Consider the following 22863-nt stretch of genomic DNA (forward strand, 5'->3'; position numbering starts at 1 on the left):
TCAGCCAGGCTCATCTCGAATTCCTGACCTCAGGTGATCCGCCCGCCTCAGCCTCTCAAAGTGCTGGGATTAAAGGCGTAAGCCACTGTGCCCGGCTGCGTTTCTTTTTTCTTTTCTTTTCTTTCTTTCTTTCTTTCTTTCTTTTTTTTTTTTTTTTTTTTTTTGAGACAGAATCTTGCTCTGTCACCCAGGCTGGAGTGCAATGGCACCATCTCAGCTCACTGCAATCTCCGCCTCCCGGGTTCAAGAGATTCTCCTGCCTCAGCCTCCGGAGTCGCTGGGATTGCAGGCACCCGCCACCGTGCCCGGCTAATTTTTGTATTCTTAGTAGAGACGGGGTTTCACCACCTTGGCCAGGCTGGTCTCAAACTCCTGACCTCGTGATCCACCCGCCTCGGCCTTCCAAAGTGCTGGGATTACAGGCGTGAGCCACCGCGCCCGGCCTCCGGCCGCGTTTCTTTTCTTTTTTAGAGGAGTCAGGCTGGAGTGCCGTGGCACAATAGCTCACTGCAGCTTCGAACTCCTGGGCTCAAGTGCTCCTCCCGCCTCAGCCTCCTGAGTAGCTAGGACTGCAGGCGTGCACCACCACGCCCGGCTTTTTTTTTATTATTATTAATTTTTTTGTAGAGACGGGATCTTGTTGTATTGCCCAGGCTGGTCTCCAACTCGTAGCCTCAAGCGATCCTCCCACCTCGGCCTCCCAAAGTGCTGGGATTACAGCTGTGAGCCACCGCGCCTGGCACAGGCTTCATTTCTGATGGTCCTTCCTTTTTCCTTGATGCCTTTCTCTGTACCTGGCACATAGAGGTGCCTGGTACGTGTTTGTTGAATGAATGAATGAATGAGTGAATGAGCGAACATGCCATTTCACCTTATATATCTTGTGAACCTGCCAGGCCCGGGCCTGATGTCATAGCCTCTACCCCTGGCCCGAGTCTCCAGTCCCCTGCGTGTCTGCTGACCACAGCACGAACGCCAGCGCACTACCCTCCTCAACCCCAGCCCAGGCCCCTTCCCCGTCGGGGTCCCCCCAACCCTTTCCCCGCCCGCTTCCCCGCCCCGGGGCCGCTTAGCCTCCAGCTCAGCGGGAGGTATCCCCGCCCACGGCCAGGATTGGAGGATGGAGGCAACGCCCACCCCGCCGGGCGGCCTCCTATTGGCGCGGCCGTCGCCAGGGGTGGGGACAGGACCGGCGGCTGCTGACGCCATCCCGGCCAGAAAAGCCCTGGCCAGTGGCGGGCGCGACACTATCCGTGCGGCCAGGCGGAGGTGAGTGCGCGGCGGCCGGATGGGCGGGACGGGCGTGGAGGACGCCGAGCACCGTGGCGCGCGCTCACGTCCGCGTCCCCAAGGGCTGCGCTCCCTCAAGCGCAGTGCCCAGAACTCGGAGCCAGCCCGGCCCGGGGGACCCTGCTGGCCAAGGAGGTCGTCAGTCCGGTCTTGTCTTCCAGACCCGGAGGACCGAAGCTTCCGGACGACGAGGAACCGCCCAACATGGCCTCGGAGGTGAGTGGGACCTCGGGGACTCCGGTCCTCCTAGCCTCCAAAGGAGAGAGTGGGGGCGCCAGACCTGCCTCGGGCCACCCTGCTGGGAATCGCCCTCCAGGAAGCAATTTTGAAAATTACCTAGGAAGCCTGCACCCCCAGCCCTCCCGGGCGCATCATCTGGAGCCCAGCAGTCACCTTTACCAGGACTCACCAGTATCCGCAGGCAGCCCTTGTGGCAAACCCACCAACCCACACTACTAGGGGTAGAGTGGCTCTGCCCTCACCTCACAGTGATGCCTGCCTGGCCAGGAAAAGTGGCTCCCAAGCCTTCAGCCTTCCAACTCTTCCTTCCTTCTTACCACGTGTCCTCCTGTCAGGTCCCACCCCACACCACATCCCTTCTCCTGCTAGAGCAATTGTCCCTGTTTATAGAATAAAGCTCAGCCCCTAAGTGTTCTTGTCCTTGACTGTGGCATGTGGAAAGAGCCAGGAAAAAGGGGACGTCGCCTCGTGGCTCCAGCAACCCTGGTGCCTGGTCCCTTCCTGTCTCACTGGACCCTGCCTCTTAGGGTCAGTGGCTCCTGGCCTCTCCTCCTGACCACTGAGATGCTGGATTCCCAGGCAGAGGTTTTCCTTCCTTGGGCCATAGTTGATTTATCTGGCAATGGGGGTAATAATAGCTGTCGGCCTCACTCTGTAAGGCACTAGATTATGAGGCCATTGCTTTGGACCCTTCAGGTGAGAGGGGCTGTTCGCCTGATGCTTGATGAAGGGAACTCCGGGAAGCAGGAGGTCTGGGTTCCAGGCCCTTTTGGCCTTCATTAGCTAGCAATTCACTTCCTCTTTCTCAATGCCCTGCAAGCTCAGTGCCCTGCAAGCTTCTGGGTCATGGCAGGGGGGTAGGGCCTGGACTTTGGAGCCAAACAGACTTGGTTTCTGTACCAGTCACTTGAGCCCTTTAAACCTCTTTCCTCATTTGTGAAATAGGGGTAATATTGCCCACCTCATAAAAGGCCGTAATAACATATGTGAAATCCCTAGCACAGGGCTGAGCAACAGTAGGTGCTCAATAAATGGTGGCTAACCACAACAATACTGATATTTCTACTTTGGGAGGCCGAGGCGGGAGGACTGCTGAAGCCCAGGAATTCCAGACCAGCCAGGGCAATGTAATGAGACCCTGTCTCTACAAAAAGATTTTGAAAATTACCCAGGTGTGGTGGCGTACACCTGTAGTCTCACAGGAGGCGGAGGCATGAGGATTGCTTGAGCCCAGGAGTTTGAGACTGCAGTGAGCATGATCTCACCACTGCACTCCAGCCCAGGCAACAGAGTGAGATCCAGTTTCAAAAAAATAAAAATAAAAAAACCTGGCAGGCATGGTGGCTCACACCTGTAATCCCAGCACTTTGGGAGGTCGAGGTGGGCAGATCACCTGAGGTCAGGAGTTTGAGACCAGCCTGGCCAACATGGTGAAACCCCGTCTCTACTAAAAATGCAAAAATTAGCTGGGTGTAGTGGTGGGTGCCTGTAGTCCCAGCTATTCGGGAGGCTGAGGCAGGAGAATCGCTTGAACTCGGGAGGCGGAGGTTGCAGTGAGCTGAGATCGCACCACTGCACTCCAGCCTGGGCGACAAAGCAAGACTCCACCTCAAAAAAAGAAAAAAAACCCACAAGTCCCAAAACCAAAACTGGTATTTCCCATGTACATTCGACCTTAACTGTTGCTCATTCAACCCAGCCCAACTCAGTGCCCCATCCCCTGGCCCTGAAGAGACCATTCTGGCCCAGATGTGTCCTGGCTTGGAGTAGCACCTTCTGCTACCACACTAGGCCTCCACTCTCCTCAGTGCCCAAGGGGAGGCACCTCACTCTGATCTCCCTGTGGGGTCCTCTTATGCCTGCCAGTAAGGATAGGAGTTTGGTTCTAGAGCAGAGTGGTCTGGCTTCCAACAAGCCCAGTGTTCTAGGTGACCTCAGGTTGCCCCAGGCCTTCCTGTAGGTTGGCACTAATTGGTTTGGCTGCAGCTCCACTTATTAAGTAGTTATTTTTATTACTAACAACCTAGGCAGGGTGGCCCAGGAGCCCGCTGGGGGAGGCGGTGCCAGGCTCCTGGCTGAGGGGCAGGCTGGCCCCAATTCTGACTGGCTGGCTCCAGTGATCAGGACCAGGGCCCCACGTGGTGCTTTGCTGGAGATCTAGGCTTGGTGGGGCAGCTGTGGGGTAAGGGGCAGGACCAGCTCAAAGATGGGGTGGGGGCGGAGGCTGCCTCTGCAGGGCAGAGTCCTTTGGCAGTCGGGACTGTTGGGCATAGAGGAGTCAGCTCACAGCTCAGGGCCAGAGCACTGGAGAGGTCTCTGGGGTGCATACAGGAACCAGGAGTGGAGCTGAAGCATGTCCTATCCCCTGCCAGCCCTCCCTTAGTAACAGCTGGCATTTCTCGAGTCCTTCCTGAGCACCAGGCACCGTGTTATGTATGCAATTTGCAAATATTATCTGATTAAATGCTCACAATAAGGCTATCAGAGAGGTACTATTATTATCCTTATCTTATTATTATTATTATTATTATTTTTAAGAAGGAGTCTTGCTCTGTCGCCCAAGCTGGAGTACAATGGCGCCATCTCTGCTCACCGCAACCTCTACCTCCAGGATTCAAGTGATTCTCCTGCTTCAGACTCCCAAGTGGCTGGGACTACAGCTTCCTGCCACCGCGCCTGGCTAATGTTTATATTTTTAGTACAGATGAGGTTTCACCATGTTGGCCAGGCTGATCTCGAACTCCTGACCTCAAGCGATCCACCTGCCTGGGCCTCCCAACCCTGAGGGTTTTTGTTTTTGTTTTTGTTTTGAGACAGAGTCTTGCTCTGTCGCCCAGGCTGGAGTGCAGTGGCACGATCTCAGCTCACTGCAAGCTCCGCCTCCCGGGTTCACGCCATTCTCCTGCCTCAGCCTCCCAAGTAGCTGGGACTACAGGCGCCCAACACCCCCATGCCTGGCTAATTTTTTTGTGTGTGTTTTCAGTAGAGACGGAGTTTCACCATGTTAGCCAGGATGGTCTCCATCTCCTGACCTCGTGATCTGCCCACCTCAGCCTCCCAAAGTGCTAGGATTATAGGTGTGAGCCACCACGCCCAGCCCCTGAGGTTTAATAATAGGTGCCAGGCCAGGTGGTTAATAGAAGTCTGGGGCATTGTAGGGGGACAGAGGAGGATATATGTCCCCATTGGCCATTGTAGACTCCCTTCCACAAAAAGGACGTCAGTGAAGTGACATGCCCACCTCTACCCCACCCTCCTCCCAGTCCTGGGCACTAGGGCTGCTCCCCAGGTGTTCTGTACCCCCTCCCCACTCTGTCCCATGCCCTGGCCTCTGCCCTCTTTCAAAACATAGATGTGGCTGGCGCCTAGGCTCATGCCTATAATCTCAGCACTTTGGGAAGCTGAGGCTGGAGGACAGCTTGAGCCCAGGAATTCAAGACCAGCCTGGGCAACATAGTGAGACCCTGTCTCTACCAATTATTTTATTTTATTTTATTTTGTTCATTTATTTATTTATTTTGAGACAGAGTTTTGCTCTGTCACCTAGGCTGGAGTGCAGTGGCGTGATCTTGGCTCACTGCAACCTCCGCCTCCCGGGTTCAAGCGATTCTCCTGCCTCAGCCTCCTAAGTAGCTGGAACTACAGGCGAGTGCCACCACGCCTGGCTAATTTTTGTATTTTTAGTAGAGACCAGGTTTCACCATGTTGACCAGGATGGTCTCTGTCTCCTGACCTCATGATCCACCCACCTTAGCCTTCCAAAATGCTGGGATTACAGGCATGAGCCACCACTCCCAGTCCTATAAAATTTTAAAAAAATGTCTGGGTGTGGTGGCGCATGCTTGTAGTCCCAACTATTGGGGAGGCTGAGGCAAGAGGATTGGTTGAGACCAGGAGTTTGAGGCTGCAGTGAGCTATGATGGTGCCACCGCACTCCAACCTGGGTAACAAAGTGAGACCCTGTGTCTAAAAAAGAATTTAAAGGCCGGGTGTGGTGGCTCACACCCGTAATCCCAGGACTTTGGGAGGCCGAGGTGGGCAGATCACGAGGTCAGATTAAGACCATCCTGGCTAACAAGGTGAAACCACGTCTCTACTGAAAAAAAAAAATACAAAAAATTAGCCAGGCATGGTGGTGGGCACCTGTAGTCCCAGCTACTCAGGAGGCTGAGGCAGGAGAATGGCGTGAATCTGGGAGGTGGAGCTTGCAGTGAGCCAAGATCCTGCCACTGCACTCCAGCCTGGGTGACAAAGAGAGACTCCATCTCAAAAAAAAAAAAAAAAAAAAAGAATTAAAAAAGATTTTTTTAATGAACAAAACAGGCTCGGCACAGTGGCTCATGCCTGTAATCCCAAGCACTTCGGGATGCCAAGGTCAGGGGATCACCTGAGATCAGGAGTTCGAGACCAGCCTGACCAACATGGTGAAACCCCGTCTCTACTAAAAATATAAAACTCAGCCAGGTGTGGTGGCACACGCCTGAAATTCCAGCTACTCGGGAGGCTGAGGCAGGAAAATTGGCTTGAAGCCGGGAGGTGGAGGTTGCAGTGAGCCGAGATCACGCCACTGCACTCCAGCCTAGGCAACAGAGTGAGACTCTATCTCAAAGAAAACGAACAAAACATAGATGCCTACATACCATTCCTCTGCCCTTGGCTCCTGGGGAGTAAGGGATCACCCAGTGACCTCCTAGAAGGCCAGTGACAATGGGGGGTGTCAGGGTGCTTTTCAGAGCCAAGGGAGTGGTAGGAATTGGGATCTTAGTCCAGCTCCAAGCTGTGAGGGAGAGAGTTGCAGGGCACTTAAGCTTGGTGGAGACCCTCAAGGCCTCTTTGCCTGTCCCTGCAGCAAAGGTTCTGGACACCAGAGCCAAGTCCAGAAGCCCTGGTGGAACAGGGGTGAAAAGCATAGGTTCTGACTTCAGACTGCTGGGCCGCAGCCCTGGCTATCCCACCCCAGGTGAGAGCAGGCTGCTCTGTGCCTCAGTTTCCCCATCTTCATAGTGGAATTGTATTGGTGCCTACCCAGAGGGTTGTGTCAACAATTAGGATGGCACCTAGCACCTTGGTCAGTGGTGGGAAAGGTTCCAGAAGTTCTGCTGTGGTCCCAGGGGTGTCTCAGGCCCTGCCATCATCTCCTTGGAGGGGTGCCATGTGGTGGGAAAGAACCCCAACTTCAAGGCCACACACAGTGGCTCATGCCTGTAATCCTAGCACTTTCAGAGGCCAAGATGGGAGGATCACCTGAGGTCAGGAGTTCAAGACCAGCCTGGCCAACATGGTGAAACCCCATCTCTACTAATGATACAAAAATTAGCTGGGTGTGGTGGCACGTGCCTGTAATCCCAGCTACTTGGGAGTCTGAGGCAGGAGAATCTCTTGAACCTGGGAGGCAGAGTTTGCAGTGAGCTGAGATGGCACCACTGTACTCCAGCCTGGCCGACAAAGTGAGACTCTGTCTCAAAAAAAAAAAAAAAGAACCCAAACTTTTGGTGTTCAGCCATGTTCCCATGCTCACTCCCAGGGTGGTGACTCTGGGAAGGTCTCAGCCTCCTTGTCTGCCCAGTTAGAATGATCTGATGCCCCTGCTACCATCAGACTTGATAAGTTTCCCAAAGACTCTTTGCAAGAAGCACTGTTCTGGAGGGTGGAGGAGAGACTAATTGTTCTTGCTCTCCTGGCCAGAGTGGGAAGCTTTGGGGTGGCCGGTTTGTGGGTGCAGTGGACCCCATCATGGAGAAGTTCAACGCGTCCATTGCCTACGACCGGCACCTTTGGGAGGTGGATGTTCAAGGCAGCAAAGCCTACAGCAGGGGCCTGGAGAAGGCAGGGCTCCTCACCAAGGCCGAGATGGACCAGATACTCCATGGCCTAGACAAGGTACTTGCCGTGGCCCAAGCCCCACCCAAGGCCCCTTCCCTGTGGCCCCAGGCTCCCACCAAATCCCTGAGCAAACAGTGCAGTGTTGCCCATCTGTGGTTTCACATTGAACTAATTATATACTCAAGTGCTGTTTAACTGTGTGCCTTGATGACTGCCTCTCTCCATCCTTTAATGACCCCTGTGGCCCACATGGCTCATGGGTAAAGGTGTGCTGGGCCTGAGATGCCCCCTCCCAGGGTGCGCTTCCAGGACTCAGCTCCTGGGCAGGGACAGTCAGTCACCAGGGATAGGGTGGGACCAAGGCAGGGGCTCTCTTGGCTGCTGATGCCTGCTCACCTGACCCCGGCATTGCTGCTACCCACTACAGGTGGCTGAGGAGTGGGCCCAGGGCACCTTCAAACTGAACTCCAATGATGAGGACATCCACACAGCCAATGAGCGCCGCCTGAAGGTACGACCCCTGGAGCCCCACCGCTTTCCTTGCCTCCCCTCTCCACCTTGCCCAGGGCCACTTTGAGCATTAGCACCATTCTGTTTACTTCGCCATTGGCAGACAGCATGTGAGACCTCAGGACATGAGCCAGGCACCCTGGCTCATGCCTATAATCCTAGCACTTTGGGAGGCTGAGGTGGGAGGATTGCTTGAGACCAGGAGTTCGAGACCAGCCTGGGCAACATAATGAGGTCCCACAGCTACAAAAATTAAAAAAAGAAAAGAAAAAAAGAACAGGCCTCAGCAGAAATGGCGAGAGATTTGGGGAGGACCCGGAGCCCTGGGGTATGGAGGTAGGTTGGCAGGGCTGATGAGGAAAACTGCCCTGCCTGGGTTGACTCCTCTGGGGGTATAGACCGTGACCCTGGGTCTCCCTTCACCTCCAGGAGCTCATTGGTGCAACGGCAGGGAAGCTGCACACGGGACGGAGCCGGAATGACCAGGTGCTTTAGCCCCTCCACCCCCTGCTCCGTGTTGTCCCAACCTTGAGGAGCCCAGGGGGCAGTTAGAGTTCTGCAGCGGTCCTGGCTCCTCAGGGAAGCAACACATCGGCCTCCCTGAGCACCATCTCCTCCTTGCACAGGTGGTCACAGACCTCAGGCTGTGGATGCGGCAGACCTGCTCCACGCTCTCGGGCCTCCTCTGGGAGCTCATTAGGACCATGGTGGATCGGGCAGAGGCGTGAGTCCTACAGGGACACCCAGGGGGCAGACAGAGGTGTGATGGAAGCCTGAACAGGAGACCTAGGGGGCAGGGGTGAACAGCGTGGGGGTGCCAGGCCCTGGGGGACAGGGGCATCCCAGAACTCCAGGATCGAGGCAGAGCAGCCAGGAGTGGGCCATTTCCTGCAGGCCCCAATACTCCCATGCCAGTCTAGCTCAGCAGGCAGAGAAGACTAACCCTTCGTGGGGCTGGGTGCGGTGGCTCACGCCTGTAATCTCAGCACTTTGGGAGGCCGAGGTGGGTGGATCACCTGAGGTCAGGAGTTCGAGACCAGCCTGGCCAACATGGGAAAACTCTGTCTCTACTAAAAATACAAAAATTAGGCAATGTGGTGGTGTGCGCCTGTAATCCCAGCTACTCGGGAGCCTGAGGCAGAAGAACTGCTTGAACCCGGGAGGAGGAGGTTGCAATGAGCCGAGATCGCGCCATTGCACTCCAGCCTGGGCTACAGAGCGAGACTCCTGTCTCAAAAAAAAAGAAAAAAAAAAAAGAAAACTCACCATTTGCAGATTTGAAGGCAGGAAGCTAAGCCAAGCACAGCTAGCTTGGCTGTGCCTGGAGCAGCCAGAGTCACTCCCCACACTGCCTGTCCCCCAGATCCCCCATCCTAAGCTTCGCCTCCCCATCCAGCCCATCTGGCAAAAGACAGAGCCAAAGGCTGCCTCCTGCTGGCCTCATTTCAGGCTTTGGCTTCTGGGACCTGGTGTCTTTGGGACTGGATTTGTTCCTTGCAGACCTGGACGAAGAGCTGCTGAGAAGTCTCCATGTGTTGTCAGAGACCCCTCCTCTTCCTCAACTCCCTGTGACCCCTGTTGTGCAGACTTGGGGGAAAACAAGGGCACAAGAATTGTCACCCAGCAGGTGGTGTGGGGCTGCTAGGAGGAACAGGGAGTGTCTGCTACTGAGTTCAGGGTTTCTTTAATTTTTTGTTGTTGTTGTTTGTTGTTGTTTTTTTTTTTTTGAGACAGGGTTTTGCTCTGTCACCTAGTCTGGAGTGTAGTGGCGCTATCTGAGCTAACTGCAAACTCTGCCTCCTGGGTTCAAGTGATTCTAGTGCCTCAGCCTCCCAAGTAGCTGAGATTACAGGTGTGCACCACCATGTCCAGCTAATTTTTGTATTTTTTTCAGTAGAGATGGGTTTTGCCATGTTGACCAGGCTGGTCTTGAACTCCTGAGCTCAGGTGATCTGCCCGCGTCGGCCTGCCAAAGTGCTAGGATTACACCCATAAGCCACTGCGCTCAGCTTAATTTTTAAATTTTTAACTTTTTAAATTGTCTTTAGAGATGAGATCCTGCTCTGTCACCTAGGCTGGAGTGCAATGGCTTGGTAATAGCTCACTGCAGTCTCAAACTCCTGGACTCAAATGATCCTCCCACCTCAGCTTTCTGAGTAGCTAGGACCACAGGTGTGCACCACCTGTGAGACAGAGTCTTGCTCTGTTGCCCAGGCTGGAGTGCAGTGGCGTGATCTCCACTCACTGCAACCTCTGCCTCCCAGGTTCACGCCATTCTCCTGCCTCAGCCTCCCGAGTAGCTGGGAGTACAGGTGCCCACCACCACGCCCGGCTAATTTTTTGTATTTTTAGTAGAGACGGGGTTTCACCATGTTAGCCAGGATGGTCTCAATCTCCCGACCTCATGATCCACCCACCTCGGACTCTCAAAGTGCTGGGATTACAGGTGTGAGCCACCGTGCCCAGCCGCGAATTCTTTAAATTTTTTGTAGAAACAGGGTCTCACTATGTGGCTCAGGCTGGTCTCAAACTCCCGGCCTTAAGTGATCCTTCCCTCTTGGCCTCCCAAAGTGCTGGGATTAAAGACTTGAGCCACCGTGCCTGGCCTTGAGTACAGAATTTCTTCATGGGGTGATGAAAATGTTCTAAAATTGGTTGTGGTGATGGTTGTACAGTAAAGTGTAAACTTTAAATGAGTAAATTGTGAATGATATCTCAGTAAAGCTGGTTTATTTAAAACAACAGGCCAGGTGCTGTGGCTCACGCCTGTAATCCCAGCACTTTGGAAGGCTGAGGCGGGTGAATCACCTGAGGTCAAGAGTTCGAGACCAGCCTGGCCAACATGGTGAAACCCCATCTCTACTAAAAATACACAAAATTAGCTGGGTGTGATGGTGGGCACCTGTAGTCCCAGCTACTTGGGAGGCAGGAGAATCTCTTGGACCTGGGAGGTGGAGGTTGTAGTGAGCCGAGATCACGCCACTGCATTCCAGCCTGGGCAACAAGAGCGAAACTCTTTCTCAAAAACAACAACAACAAAAAAACAGGCCAGGTATGGTGGCTCATATCTGTAATCCCAGCCCTTTGGGAGGCCAAGGCAGGAGGACTGCCTGAAACCAGGAGTTTCAGACCACTCTGGGCAACATAGCAAGACCCCATCTTTTTTTTTTTTTTTGAGACGGAGTCTCGCTCTGTCGCCCAGGCTGAAGTGCAATGGTGCAATCTCAACTCACTGCAAGCTCTGCCTCCTGGGTTCATGCCATTCTCCTGCCTCAGCCCTCCTGAGTAGCTGGAACTACAGGCGCCCACCACTACGCCCGGCTAATTTTTTGTATTTTTAGTATAGATGGGGTTTCACCGTGTTAGCCAGGATGGTCTCGATCTCCTGACCTTGTGATCTGCCCGCCTCGGCCTCCCAAAGTGCTGGGATTACAGGCGTGAGTTACCGCGCCTGGCCACAAGACCCCATCTTTACAAAAAACTAAAAATTAGCTGGGCATGGTGGCATGTCCCTTTAGTCCCAGCTACTCAGGAGGCTGAGACAGGAGGATCGCTTGAGCCCAGGAGATCGAGGCAGCAGTGAGCTATGATCATGCCACTGCACTCCAGTCTGGGCAACAGAACGAGACCTTGTCTCTAAAAATAAAAACAAAACAAAACAACAAGAAAACAGGACCATCACTCACAGCACCTCTGCCTCTGCCCTGCCTACTTGAATGAGGTGCAGGGCATCTCACCTGCTCAGAGCAGCCCTTGAATGAGCCCCAGCTATTTCTAGGGTCCTCAAACGAAACCTCCCACGGCCAAGTCATACCCAACATGGGCCTCCTCCCCTATTCTGGCCCCTGCTCGGAGATGCTGAGTGACAGAGGCTGGACTTGGGGTGTTTCTGGCAAAGCCTCACTGCAGGAAGCCCCACAGCTCAGGCCCAGTCCTTGGTTCACACGGTCCCACTTCCAGCTTCTTTTGCCCTTAAGACTGATTTGTCCCTGGGAGATCACCAGATCCCTCATTCAGGTGGAGTGCTGCAGCGTGACACTTTTTCCAGGGGTGACCCAGGCCTGCAGGGTTCCAGTGTCACAGGCAGGCCTTGCATGAGCCTCCACCCGAGCTTCTGCTCCTCCTCTCCCACAGGGAACGTGATGTTCTCTTCCCGGGGTACACCCATTTGCAGAGGGCCCAGCCCATCCGCTGGAGCCACTGGATTCTGAGGTGAGCCAGGTGAGGTGCAGGGGCTGTGCTAGAGGGGAGGACCCCGGCTGCCCTGACCCTCCTGCCCCTGGCTTCCCACAGCCACGCCGTGGCACTGACCCGAGACTCTGAGCGGCTGCTGGAGGTGCGGAAGCGGATCAATGTCCTGCCCCTGGGGAGGTGGGTGAGGCTCCAGTGCCCCGAGGGCCTGGTGGGGGTGGCTGCTGCATAGCCTTAGGGATTGACAGAGCTGGGAAGTGCAGAGTGGGACAGAAAACCGCCTTATCTGCTCAGCGGGGGACTCTGCATGGAGCCCCAGCTCTCGCTAAGGTGACGACCAAGCCATTGAATGTGTCTGAGCAGGGCCAGAGCCCTCCAGCAAGGCTCCTGGCAAGCCCAGCCTGCTGCCCTCAGCCTGACATGTGGGAACATGTGTCAGGAGACAAGTGTCCTGCACCCAGGGTGACTTAGTGCTTGGGGACAAGTGTTTTGTGGACACTTGGGGACAAGTATTCTGTACCCAAGGAGACTGGGCCAGGGAAGAGGCTAAGCGCCAGGTGGTTGCCCTGGCAACCAGGACTTGGTTCTCTGTGTGTGCGTTCGTGTGTGTGTGTGTGTGTGTGTGTGTGTGTGTGTGTGTGTCAGGGCTGCCTGCCAGGAGCCCTGGTCACCATGAATCCCTGTCCCTGCAGTGGGGCCATTGCAGGCAATCCCCTGGGTGTGGACCGAGAGCTGCTCCGAGCAGGTGAGACGTCCTGCCCCTCCTCCCCAGGGAGAATCACCCTCAGCACCCGCCAAGACCTGCAGACACACCTGAAACCAGAGGGCAGGGGCCTGTGGCTCCTGGTGAAACCTTCATTCATTGCCTATGGGCACTGAGGTCATCAAGTTCAGGGGTCACTCATGGCAGGGATGCCTGGTACTGAGAGACTCAGGGCTCCTGCCTCCCTCCTGGGACTGTGCAAAAGATCCCTCCCCCCAGCTGTTGCCCCACCCTGATCAGGGGAGGGGGCTGGGCAACCTAGTTGGGGGAGAGGGGGCCACTCCCTGTCCTCCAGCTTAGCCCTGCTTCCTCCCACCCCCCCAGAACTCAACTTTGGGGCCATCACTCTCAACAGCATGGATGCCACTAGTGAGCGGGACTTTGTGGGTGAGTCCTGGGGAGCCAGTCCCCTGCCCTGTGCCTCACTTTAGTCCTTCAGCCCAGCTTCTCTCCAGTTTCCTCCCACACCTCCACGGACAGGCTGGTTGTGGTGATATTGTACACTGAAGTATAAACCTTAAATGGGTAAAGTGGGTGGGGCATGGTGGTTCACCATGCCCAGCACTGGCCAACATGGTGAAACCCCATCTCTACTAAGAATACAAAATTTAGCTGGGTGTGTGGTGGCAGGTGCCTGTAATCCCAGCTACTCAGGAGTTCTGAGGCCAGAGAATCACTTGAACCCAGGAGGCGGAGGCTGCAGTGAGCCAAGATCACGCCAGTGCACTCCAGCCTGGGCAACAAGAGCGAAACTCCATCTCAAAAAATAAAATAAAATAAAATAAAAATAAATAGGCCAGGCATGGTGGCTCACGCCCGTAATCCTAGCACTTTGGGAGTCCGAGGCAGGTGGATCACATGAGGTCAGGAGTTTAAGACCAGCCTGGCCAACATGGTGAAACCCCATCTCTACTAAAAGCACAAAAATTAGCTGGGCATGGTGGTGCATGCCTGTAATCCCAGCTACTCGGGAGGCTAAGGAAGGAGATTCGCTGGAACCTGGGAGGTAGAGGTTGCAGTGAGCCAAGATTGTGCCACTGTACTCCAGCCTGTGCATTGGGAGCGAGACTCCATCTCAATAAATAAATAAATAAATAAATGGATAAATTGTATGTGAGTGATAACTCAGTAAAGCTGGTTTATTTAAAACAACAACAATAACAAAAAACACGCTAGGTGCAATGGCTTACGTTTGTAATCCTAGCACTTTGGGAGGCCAAAGCAGAAGGATTGCTTGAGCCCACAAGTTTCAGAACAGCTTGGGCGACATAGCACGACCCCATCTTTGCGAAAAATGAAAATTTAGCCGGGTCCCCCCACCGCCTAACCTCCTCCTGCCCCCTGTATGGTCAGGCTGGGTGGGGATGGGAGAGGCCTGGTGACTGGGAACCTTTTCTCCCAGCCGAGTTCCTGTTCTGGGCTTCGCTGTGCATGACCCATCTCAGCAGGATGGCCGAGGACCTCATCCTCTACTGCACCAAGGAATTCAGCTTCGTGCAGCTCTCAGATGCCTACAGGTAAGCCCTGAACTGCCACCTCCATCTGCCGCTGCCGGCCTCTGTATCCCCCGCCGCCCGCGGACGTGGCTGCCTTCCTCCCCGTCCCACCCCTCCGCCAGACCTGGCCATTGCGGCGCTGGACCAGCCAAGGGTCCAGCCCCTTCAGCGCCAGCACCTCTGTCCCCAGCACGGGAAGCAGCCTGATGCCCCAGAAGAAAAACCCCGACAGTTTGGAGCTGATCCGGAGCAAGGCTGGGCGTGTGTTTGGGCGGGTGAGCAAGGCAGGGGGAGGGGCGGGGCCTCTGGGCTGATGGTGGGTGGCCAGGGGGGCAGGATCCCGGGTCCAGCCCCTGTGCCTCCCTCTTCCCGCAGTGTGCCGGGCTCCTGATGACCCTCAAGGGACTTCCCAGCACCTACAACAAAGACTTACAGGTGCGAGGCCGGGGGAGGCCTGGCTAGTACGTGCCAGTTCTCAGGGCTCTGGCACACTCAGGCAGGGCCCCACCCCGGGATTGCCATACATCCTCCCATCCTGTGCACACAGCTCCATCCGTGGCTGCCCTTGAACTCTCTGCCCTTCCTTTGTTGGGGTATTGAGTGTTCTTCCCATGGAAGGCAGTGGGGATGCCTCAGTGGGGGGGTGGGGCTGTGGGGACCCTGGGTGCCAGGGGGCTGCTAGGCCCTCACCTCCTGCCATGTGCCTCCCAGGAGGACAAGGAAGCTGTGTTTGAAGTGTCAGACACTATGAGTGCCGTGCTCCAGGTGGCCACTGGCGTCATCTCTACGCTGCAGGCAAGACATCACCCCCCTGCTTCTCCTCCCCTAGGTCCCAGGCACTGGGGTGGGCATGCGGGGAGGGTGGCCTTGGGAGGAGGTGAGGTGGGGCTGGAGGACCTGGGGCAGGGAAGGAGAGGTGTGCTCGCTCCTGCTCCTGGGGAACAGGGAAAGGACAGAAACTGCTGCCATGCAGTGGAAGTAGATGAGACTCAGGGGGCCTGGGGCCTGTCAAATGGCCTGACCAGAACTCTTTAAAAAAAGAAAATCTAAACAAAAGGCCAGGTGCAGTGGCTCATGCCTGGAATCTCACACTTTGGGAGGCCGAGGCAGATGGAGCACTTGAGGTCAGGGGTTTGAGACCAGCCTGGCCAACATGGCGTAACCACGTCTCTACTAAAAATACAAAAATTAGCCAGGCGTGATGGCCCACACCTGTAATCCCAGCTACTCAGGAGGCGGAGGCAGAAGAATAGCTTGAACCCAGGAGATGGAAGTTGTAGTGAGCCAAGATCATGCCGCTGCACTCCAGCCTGGACCACAGAGTAAAACTCCATCTACAAATATATAAATTAAATTAAATTAAATTAAATATCTTTAAAAAACATTTTTTAGAGACAGGGTCACTCTCTGTCGCCCAGGCTGGAGTGCAGTGGTGCGGTCGTAGCTCACTGCAGCCTCAAACTCTTGGGCTCAAGTGATCTTCCCACCTCAGTCTCCAGAGTAGCTGGGACTACAAACATGCGCCACCACGCCTGGCTAATTTTTTTATTTTTTGTAGAGACAGGGTCTCCCTATGTTTCCCAGGCTGGTCTCAAATTCCTGGCCCCAAGCCATCCTCCCACCTTGGTCTCCCAAGGTGCTGGGATTATAGGCATGAGCCACTTTGCCTGGCTGATTTCTTTTAAAATCAATTATTATGGGAAATTTATGTATATAACAGCTAGAGAATGCATAATGAACCCTATGTACCGACACCCAGCTTCAATGATAATCAACTCACGGACATCCTGGCTCCAGCTGTCTTTACCCACAGCTCTCTCCCACTCCCTTACCCCCTTATTTTGAAGCAAATTCCCATCATCACATCATTTCATTCCTAAATAGTTCAGGATATGTCTTGAAATCAGTGTTTCTTGGCTGGGTGCAGAGCCTCATGCCTGTAATCCCATCAATTTGCGAGACTAAGGTGGGCAGATCACTCGAGGTCAGGAGTTCGAGACCAGCCTGGCCAACATGGCGAAACCCCGTCTTTACTAAAAATATAAAAATTAGCTGGGTGTGGTGGTACACGCCTGTAATCCCAGCTACTCAGGAGGCTGAGGCAGGAGAATTGCTTGAACCCGGGAGATGGAGACTGCAGTGAGCAGAGATCACGCCACTGCGCTCCAGCCTGTGTGACAGTGCAAGACTCCATCTCAAAAAAAAAAAAAAAAAAAAAAGGCAGTGTTTCTGGAGGCTAGTCCCCCAACTAGCAGCACCAGCATCACCTCAGAAGTCCTGAGAAATGTGATGTGAGGCCCCACTCCAGATGGCTGAATCAGAGACTCTGGGGGTGCTCCCCAGCAATTTGTATTTTTCTTAGTAAATTCTCCAGTGGCTAGGCCTGGTGGCTCATGCTTGTAATCCCAGCACTTTGAGAAGCTGAGGCAGGAGAAGCGCTTGAGCCCAGGAGTTCAAAACCAGCCTGAGCAACATAGCGAGACCTTGTCTGTAAAATTAAAAAAATTAAATTAGCCAGTCGTGATGGCGTGTACCTGTGGTCCCAGCCACTTAGGAGACTGATGTGGGAGGATCCCTTGAGCCCAGGAGCTCAAGGATGCAGAGAGCCAGGATTGTGCCATTGCACTCCAACATGGGCGACCCTGTCTCAAAAAAGCCCAAAACAACAACAACAAATTAGCTAGGCACGGTGGTGTGCATGGCTGTAGTCCCAGCTACTTGGGAGGCTGAGGCTGGAAGATCCCTTGAGTCCAGGCTGCAGAGGGCTATAATGGCCACTGCACTCCAGCCTGGACAACAGAGCAAGACCCTGTCTCCTAAAACAGAAAACAAATCCTCCAGGAACATCTGATGCATGCTGAAGATAAGGACTCTTTGAAAACATAAAGGCCAGTAAAACATACAGGCCAGTAAGTGTTCATAGCACATGTAAATATTATCGATAATTATGAGAAGATGGTTCAAGTTGAGAGTGAGACAGAGCCGAGTGGGTAAGAGAGTATCTGCCCAAGGCAGGGATGTCCTGGCAGAGGGGCAGGTCCTGGGCCTGGCAGCTTCAGATCCCAGGGTCCCCAGGGCTCACCACTCGCCCACCTGTGCCCCCAGATTCACCAAGAGAACATGGGACAGGCTCTCAGCCCCGACATGCTGGCCACTGACCTTGCCTATTACCTGGTCCGCAAAGGGGTAAGTGTGTAGCAGCCAGGGGGAGGGTGAGGAGATGGGGTGCCCCCCCCAGAGGGTGGGGGAGCTCAGGAATGGGTGCAAGCGGCCCAGCCTGGTGGCTCACCCCTGTAATCCCAGCACTTTGGGAAGCCGAGGTGGGCGGGTCACTTGAGGCCAGGAGTTCGAGACCAGCCTGGTCAACATGGTGAAACCCCGTCTCTTTTGATGTAAAAATACAACAATTAGCTGGGTGTGGTGGCACACTCCTGTAATCCCAGTTACTCGGGAGGCTGAGGCAGGAGAATTGATTGAACTGGGAGGTGGAGTTTGCGGTGAGGTGAGATCGCGCCACTGCACTCCAGCCTGGGCAACAGAGCGAGACTTTGTGTCAAAAAGAAAAAAAAAAAAAAAAGGAAGGGGGTGCAGGCAATGGAGGCAGATCAGGGCATGGAGAAACCTGCCTCAGCGCCATCTTCCTCCCTGGCACCCAGATGCCATTCCGCCAGGCCCACGAGGCCTCCGGGAAAGCTGTGTTCATGGCCGAGACCAAGGGGGTCGCCCTCAACCAGCTGTCACTGCAGGAGCTGCAGACCATCAGGTACGGCCCATCCCCTTCCCCATGCTGCCTCCTAGGAAGTGAGCCTGGGTGCCTGGAGCCCAGGGTGGCCTGGCGCCCTGGCCCACCTCTTCCTCTCTCCCCAGCCCCCTGTTCTCGGGCGACGTGATCTGCGTGTGGGACTACGGGCACAGTGTGGAGCAGTATGGTGCCCTGGGCGGCACTGCGCGCTCCAGCGTCGACTGGCAGATCCGCCAGGTGCGGGCGCTACTGCAGGCACAGCAGGCCTAGGTCCTCCCACACCTGCCCCCTAATAAAGTGGGCGCGAGAGGAGGCTGCTGTGTGTTTCCTGCCCCAGCCTGGCTCCCTCGTTGCTGGGCTTTCGGGGCTGGCCAGTGGGGACAGTCAGGGACTGGAGAGGCAGGGCAGGGTGGCCTGTAATCCCAGCACTTTGGAAGGGCAAGGTGCGAGGATGCTTGAGGCCAGGAGTTTGACACAGCCTGGGCAACACAGGGAGACCCCCATCTCTACTCAATAATAAAACAAATAGCCTGGCGTGGTGGCCCATGCATATAGTCCCAGCTACTTGTAAGGCTGAGGTGAGAGGACACTTGTGCCCAGGAGTGGAGGCTGCAGTGAGCTATGATCACGCCACTGCATTCCAGCCTGGATAACAGAGTGAGAACCTATCTCTAAAAATAAATAAATAAACGAAAAATAAATGGAAGCGGAGAAAACTGGGCAAGGGCAATGAGAGTCGTAGACGGGAAGGGAAGAGGGGGCTCCCATCATAGCCTCTGCTCTGTCCAGGCCCCATCCCCTTCAGACAGGGTATCACAGTGACCTCCTAGGCCAGGAGCGATGGCTCACGCCTGTAATCCTAGCATTTTGGGAGGCCTGGGCAACAGGAAGACTCCAACTACCATATTAAAAAAAACATGAATGAAAGCAAAAACAAAACAACTAGCCAAACTGGGCGCGGTGGCTCACACCTGTAATCCCAGCACTGTAGGAGGCTGAGGCTGGTGGATCACTTGAGACCAGGAGTTCAAGACCAGCCTGGCCAACATAGTGGAACCCCATCTCTAATAAAAATACAAAAATTAGCCGGGCGTGGTGGCGCATGCCCATAATCCCAGCTATTCGGGAGGCTGAGGCAGGAGAATTGCTTGAACCCAGGAGACAGGTTGCAGCAAGCCAAGACTGCATTACTGCACTCCAGCCTGGGCCACAGAGCAAGACTCTGTCTAAAAACAACAACAAAAACTAGCCAGTTGTGGTGGTATGTGCCTATAGTCCCAGCTACGTGGAAGGCTGAGGCGGGAGGATTGCTTGAGCCCAGCAGTGGGAGGCTGCAGTGAGCTGTGATGGCACCACTGTCCTCCAGTCTGGGAAACAGAGCAAGACCCTGTCCCTAAAAGACAAAAAATAAGAAATGTCTGAAACTTATATTTTATTAACAACAAAGACAAACAAGCTAAACTCAAGGAAGAATGAATAACCCCTACCACGTGATTTTGGGAGCAATGACAGATTTTGTTAAAGAACCAAGGCTGGGTGCAGTGGCTCACGCCTGTAATCCCAGCACTTTGGGAGGCCAAGGCGGGCAGATCACCTGAGGCCAGGAGTTCGAGACCAGCCTGGCCAATATGGTGAAACCCCATCTCTACTAAAAATACAAAAAAAAATTTCCTGGGCGTGGTGGTACATGCCTGTAATCCCAGCTACTTGGGAGGCTGAGGGAGAAGAATCACTTGAACCTGGGAGGTGGAGGTTGCAGTGAACTGAGATTGTGCCACTGCACTCCAGCCTGGGTGACAGAAGTAGACTGTGTCTCAAAAAAAAAAAAAGAACCAAAAGCCAGACCCCAGCAGTGAGGATGTGACACCAAATCCCCAAAAGGGTCAAAGCTCTGGGTCACAGATAAAATCTTCCAGAGCAGTTGTTCTCAGACTGTCATTCCTGGCCATCATAATTTTCACCAAGGAGCTTAGAAATGCAAACTTTCTGGCTGGGCACAGTGGCTTATGCCTGTAATCCCAGCACTTTGGGAGGCCAAGGCGGGCAGATCACCTGAGGTCAGGAGTTCAAGACCAACCTGGTCAACAGGGTGAAACCCCATCTCTACCAAAAATACAAAAATTAGCCAGGCGTGGTGGGGAATGCCTGTAATCCCAGCTACTCAGGAGGCTGAGGCAGGAGAATCACTTGAATCTAGGAGGGGGAGGTTGCAGTGAGCCGAGATCACGACACTGGCTCCAGCCTGGGTGACAGAGCAAGACTCTGTTTCAAAAAACAACAAAAATAACACAGTGACCTAAGAAAAAAAAGAAAAGAAAAAAGCGTGGCATGATGGTGTGCACCTGTAATCCCAGCTACTCAGGAGGCTGAGCCAGGATTGTTTGAGGCTAGGAGTTCAAGACCAACCTTGGCAACATTGTGAGACTCTGTCTCATTGGGGGAAAAAAAATGACCTCCTGCCTTGGGTGTCATTGGCAGGACTGGTGGGACCTGATGGGTATGGGTGGCCCCGTCAGTCACTGTCCATCTCCCTTCTTTCCCAGCGTCCCCTGGGCTCCCCCTGCCCTCATTCACCCCTTGCTGAACCTACCCTTTCCTGGACCATTCAGGCACCATCACGGGTATTGCTCAGGCTGAGGCCTGTACCAGCACCGCAAGGGTGACCTGTGACCTCCTAAGGGGCATGGTGTATGGAGTGGTAAGGTCAGCCATCCAGCTAGTATGTGATGCCAGCCACTGGGTTAGCTTCCTGCAAAACAGACACCTCCTCTACCCTAGAGAGTGATGTACAGATAAATTCCCCCACATTGACCTTGAGGGGAGGGTGACTGGGATGCAGGGCCTGGAGGGGACCTGCACCTTGCTGCAGTCAAGGGAGGCATGGCTACACCAAGCCTGCAGAGAGCCCTGAGGCCAGGCCAGGCACACGGCAAGTGTTCAGTAGAGAGCCCGTGGTGACACAGAGACCTCTTCTATGCAAATCTCACCAAACTCCTGATAAGAGATGTCTGAAATTAGAGGCCAAGTACGGTGGTTTATGCATGTAATCCCGACAGTTTGGGAGGCCAAGGTGGGAGGACTGCTTGAAGCCAGGAGTTCAGTTCAATACCAGCCTGGGCAACATAGCAAGATCCCAGCTACCACATTAAAAAAAAAAAAAAAAAAACAGGCCGGGTGCGGTGGCTCACGCCTGTAATCCCAGCACTTTAGGAGGCCAAGGCAGGTGGATCACAAGGTCAGGACTTCAAGACCAGCCTGGCCAAGATGGTAAAACCCCATCTCTACTAAAAATACAAAAAATTAGCCAGGCACTGCCTGTAGTCCCAGCTACTCGGGAGGCTGAGACGGGATACTGGCGTGAACCCGGGAGGCAGAGCTTGCAGTGAGCGGAGATCACGCCACTGCACTCCAGCCTGGGTGACAGAGCGAGACTCCGTCTCAAAAAAAAAAAAAAAAAAAAGCTGGATGCAGTGCCAGACACCTGTAATCCCAGCTACTCAGGAGGCTAAGGCAGGAGAATTGCTTGAACCCGGGAGGTGGAGGTTGCTGTGAGCTGAGATTGTGCCATTGCACTCCAGCCTGGGGAACAAGAGCGTGACTTCACCTCAAAAAAAAAAAATAAACCAAGCCAAGCCAGGCACAGTGGCTCACACCTGTAATCCCAGCACGGTGGGAGGCCGAGGCCAGTGGATCACTTGATGCCAGGAGTTCGAGACGAGCCTGGCCAACATATTGGAACCCCATCTCTAATAAAAATACAAAAATTAGCCGGGCGCAGTGGTGCACGCCTGTAGTCCCAGCCACTCAAGAGGCTGAGGCACGAGAATTGCGTGAACCTGGGAGGTGGAGGTTGCAGTCAGCTGAGACCATGCCACTGCACTCCAGCCTAGGTGATAGAGTGAGAGTCCTTCTCAAAAAAAAAAAAGAAAAGAAAAGAAAAAAACAGCCAAACTTTTTAAATAATTTCATTTTATTTTTAAAAAATCGAGATGGGCTCTATGTTTCCCAGGCTAGTCTCAAACTCCTGAGCTCAAGCCTTCCACCTGCCTCACCCTCCCAAAGTGCTGGGATTACAGGCATGAGCCACCACACCTGGCCTACCATGAATTTAATGGCTCAACATGTGTAATCTGATAATTCTGGACATCACAAGTCTGAAATTGGTTTTACTGAGAAGAAATCAAGTGTCAGCCAGGATCTAGAGGAGGATCCATTTCCTTGTTTTTTCCATTTTCTAGAGGCCACCTGCATTCCTTGGCTTGTAGTTCCTTCTTCCATCTGCAAGACCAGTGGTGTAGCATCTTCAATTCTCTCTCTGCTTCCATTGTCAATCTTTTTTTGTTTGTTTGTTTTTATTTTTATTTTTTGAGACATAGTCTCACTCTGTTGCCCAGGCTGGAGTACAATGGCGCAATCTCGGTTCACTGCAACCTCCTCTGCCTGGGTTCAAGTGATTCTCCTGCCTCAGCCTCCCAAGCAGCTGGGATTACAGGCACCTGCCACCAGGCCTGGTTAATTTTTTTTGTATTTTTAGTAGAGATGGGGTTTCGCCATGTTGGTCAGGCTGGTCTTGAACTCCTGACCTCAGGTGATCCAACCACTTCGGCCTCCCAAAGTGCTAGGATTATAGGTGTGAGACACCCCGCCCAGCCTAGTGCCATTACTTTTTTTTTTTTTTTTTTTTTTGAGACGGGGTCTCGCTCTGTCGCCCAGGCTGGAGTGCAGTGGCGTGATCTTGGCTCACTGCAAGCTCTGCCTCCCGGATTCATGCCATTCTCCTGCCTCAGCTTCCCGAGTAGCTGGGACTA

At 54.0% G+C, this 22863-nt stretch overlaps 1 protein-coding gene across 4 annotated transcripts, besides 3 other annotated features; it reads left to right on the plus strand.

The window, feature by feature from the left end:
- Positions 873-1402: a silencer, noted in NCBI's record as "silent region_18203". NCBI's record gives its function as "represses an Ori minimal core promoter by ATAC-STARR-seq in GM12878 lymphoblastoid cells {active_cell/tissue: GM12878}" and the evidence as "EXISTENCE:reporter gene assay evidence [ECO:0000049][PMID:35858748]".
- Positions 1232-18989, plus strand: ASL (argininosuccinate lyase). Of its 4 annotated transcripts, NM_000048.4 has the most exons (17): positions 1232-1269; positions 1452-1506; positions 7216-7410; positions 7781-7864; positions 8293-8349; positions 8490-8587; positions 11998-12075; positions 12157-12234; positions 12747-12799; positions 13142-13204; positions 14220-14334; positions 14504-14588; positions 14689-14748; positions 15025-15108; positions 17419-17499; positions 17970-18076; positions 18181-18989. In NM_000048.4, the coding sequence occupies exons 2-17, from the start codon at positions 1495-1497 to the stop codon at positions 18323-18325; spliced, it is 1395 nt and encodes a 464-aa protein (NP_000039.2). In that variant the 5' UTR covers positions 1232-1269; positions 1452-1494; the 3' UTR covers positions 18326-18989. The 4 variants fall into 4 exon arrangements, with proteins under 4 accessions (NP_000039.2, NP_001020114.1, NP_001020115.1 ...); NM_001024943.2 differs by having other exon boundaries at positions 1232-1506; NM_001024944.2 differs by lacking the exon at positions 14689-14748 and having other exon boundaries at positions 1232-1506.
- Positions 1503-1782: an enhancer, noted in NCBI's record as "active region_26080". NCBI's record gives its function as "activates an Ori minimal core promoter by ATAC-STARR-seq in GM12878 lymphoblastoid cells {active_cell/tissue: GM12878}" and the evidence as "EXISTENCE:reporter gene assay evidence [ECO:0000049][PMID:35858748]".
- Positions 11717-12344: an enhancer, noted in NCBI's record as "H3K4me1 hESC enhancer chr7:65551291-65551918 (GRCh37/hg19 assembly coordinates)". NCBI's record gives its function as "activates a minimal SCP1, AML or CMV promoter by ChIP-STARR-seq in naive H9 embryonic stem cells {active_cell/tissue: H9 hESC(naive)}" and the evidence as "EXISTENCE:reporter gene assay evidence [ECO:0000049][PMID:30033119]".

This window comes from Homo sapiens, chromosome 7, assembly GCF_000001405.40.
Source record: "Homo sapiens chromosome 7, GRCh38.p14 Primary Assembly".
In the NCBI taxonomy this organism is placed as follows: Eukaryota; Metazoa; Chordata; class Mammalia; order Primates; family Hominidae; genus Homo; species Homo sapiens.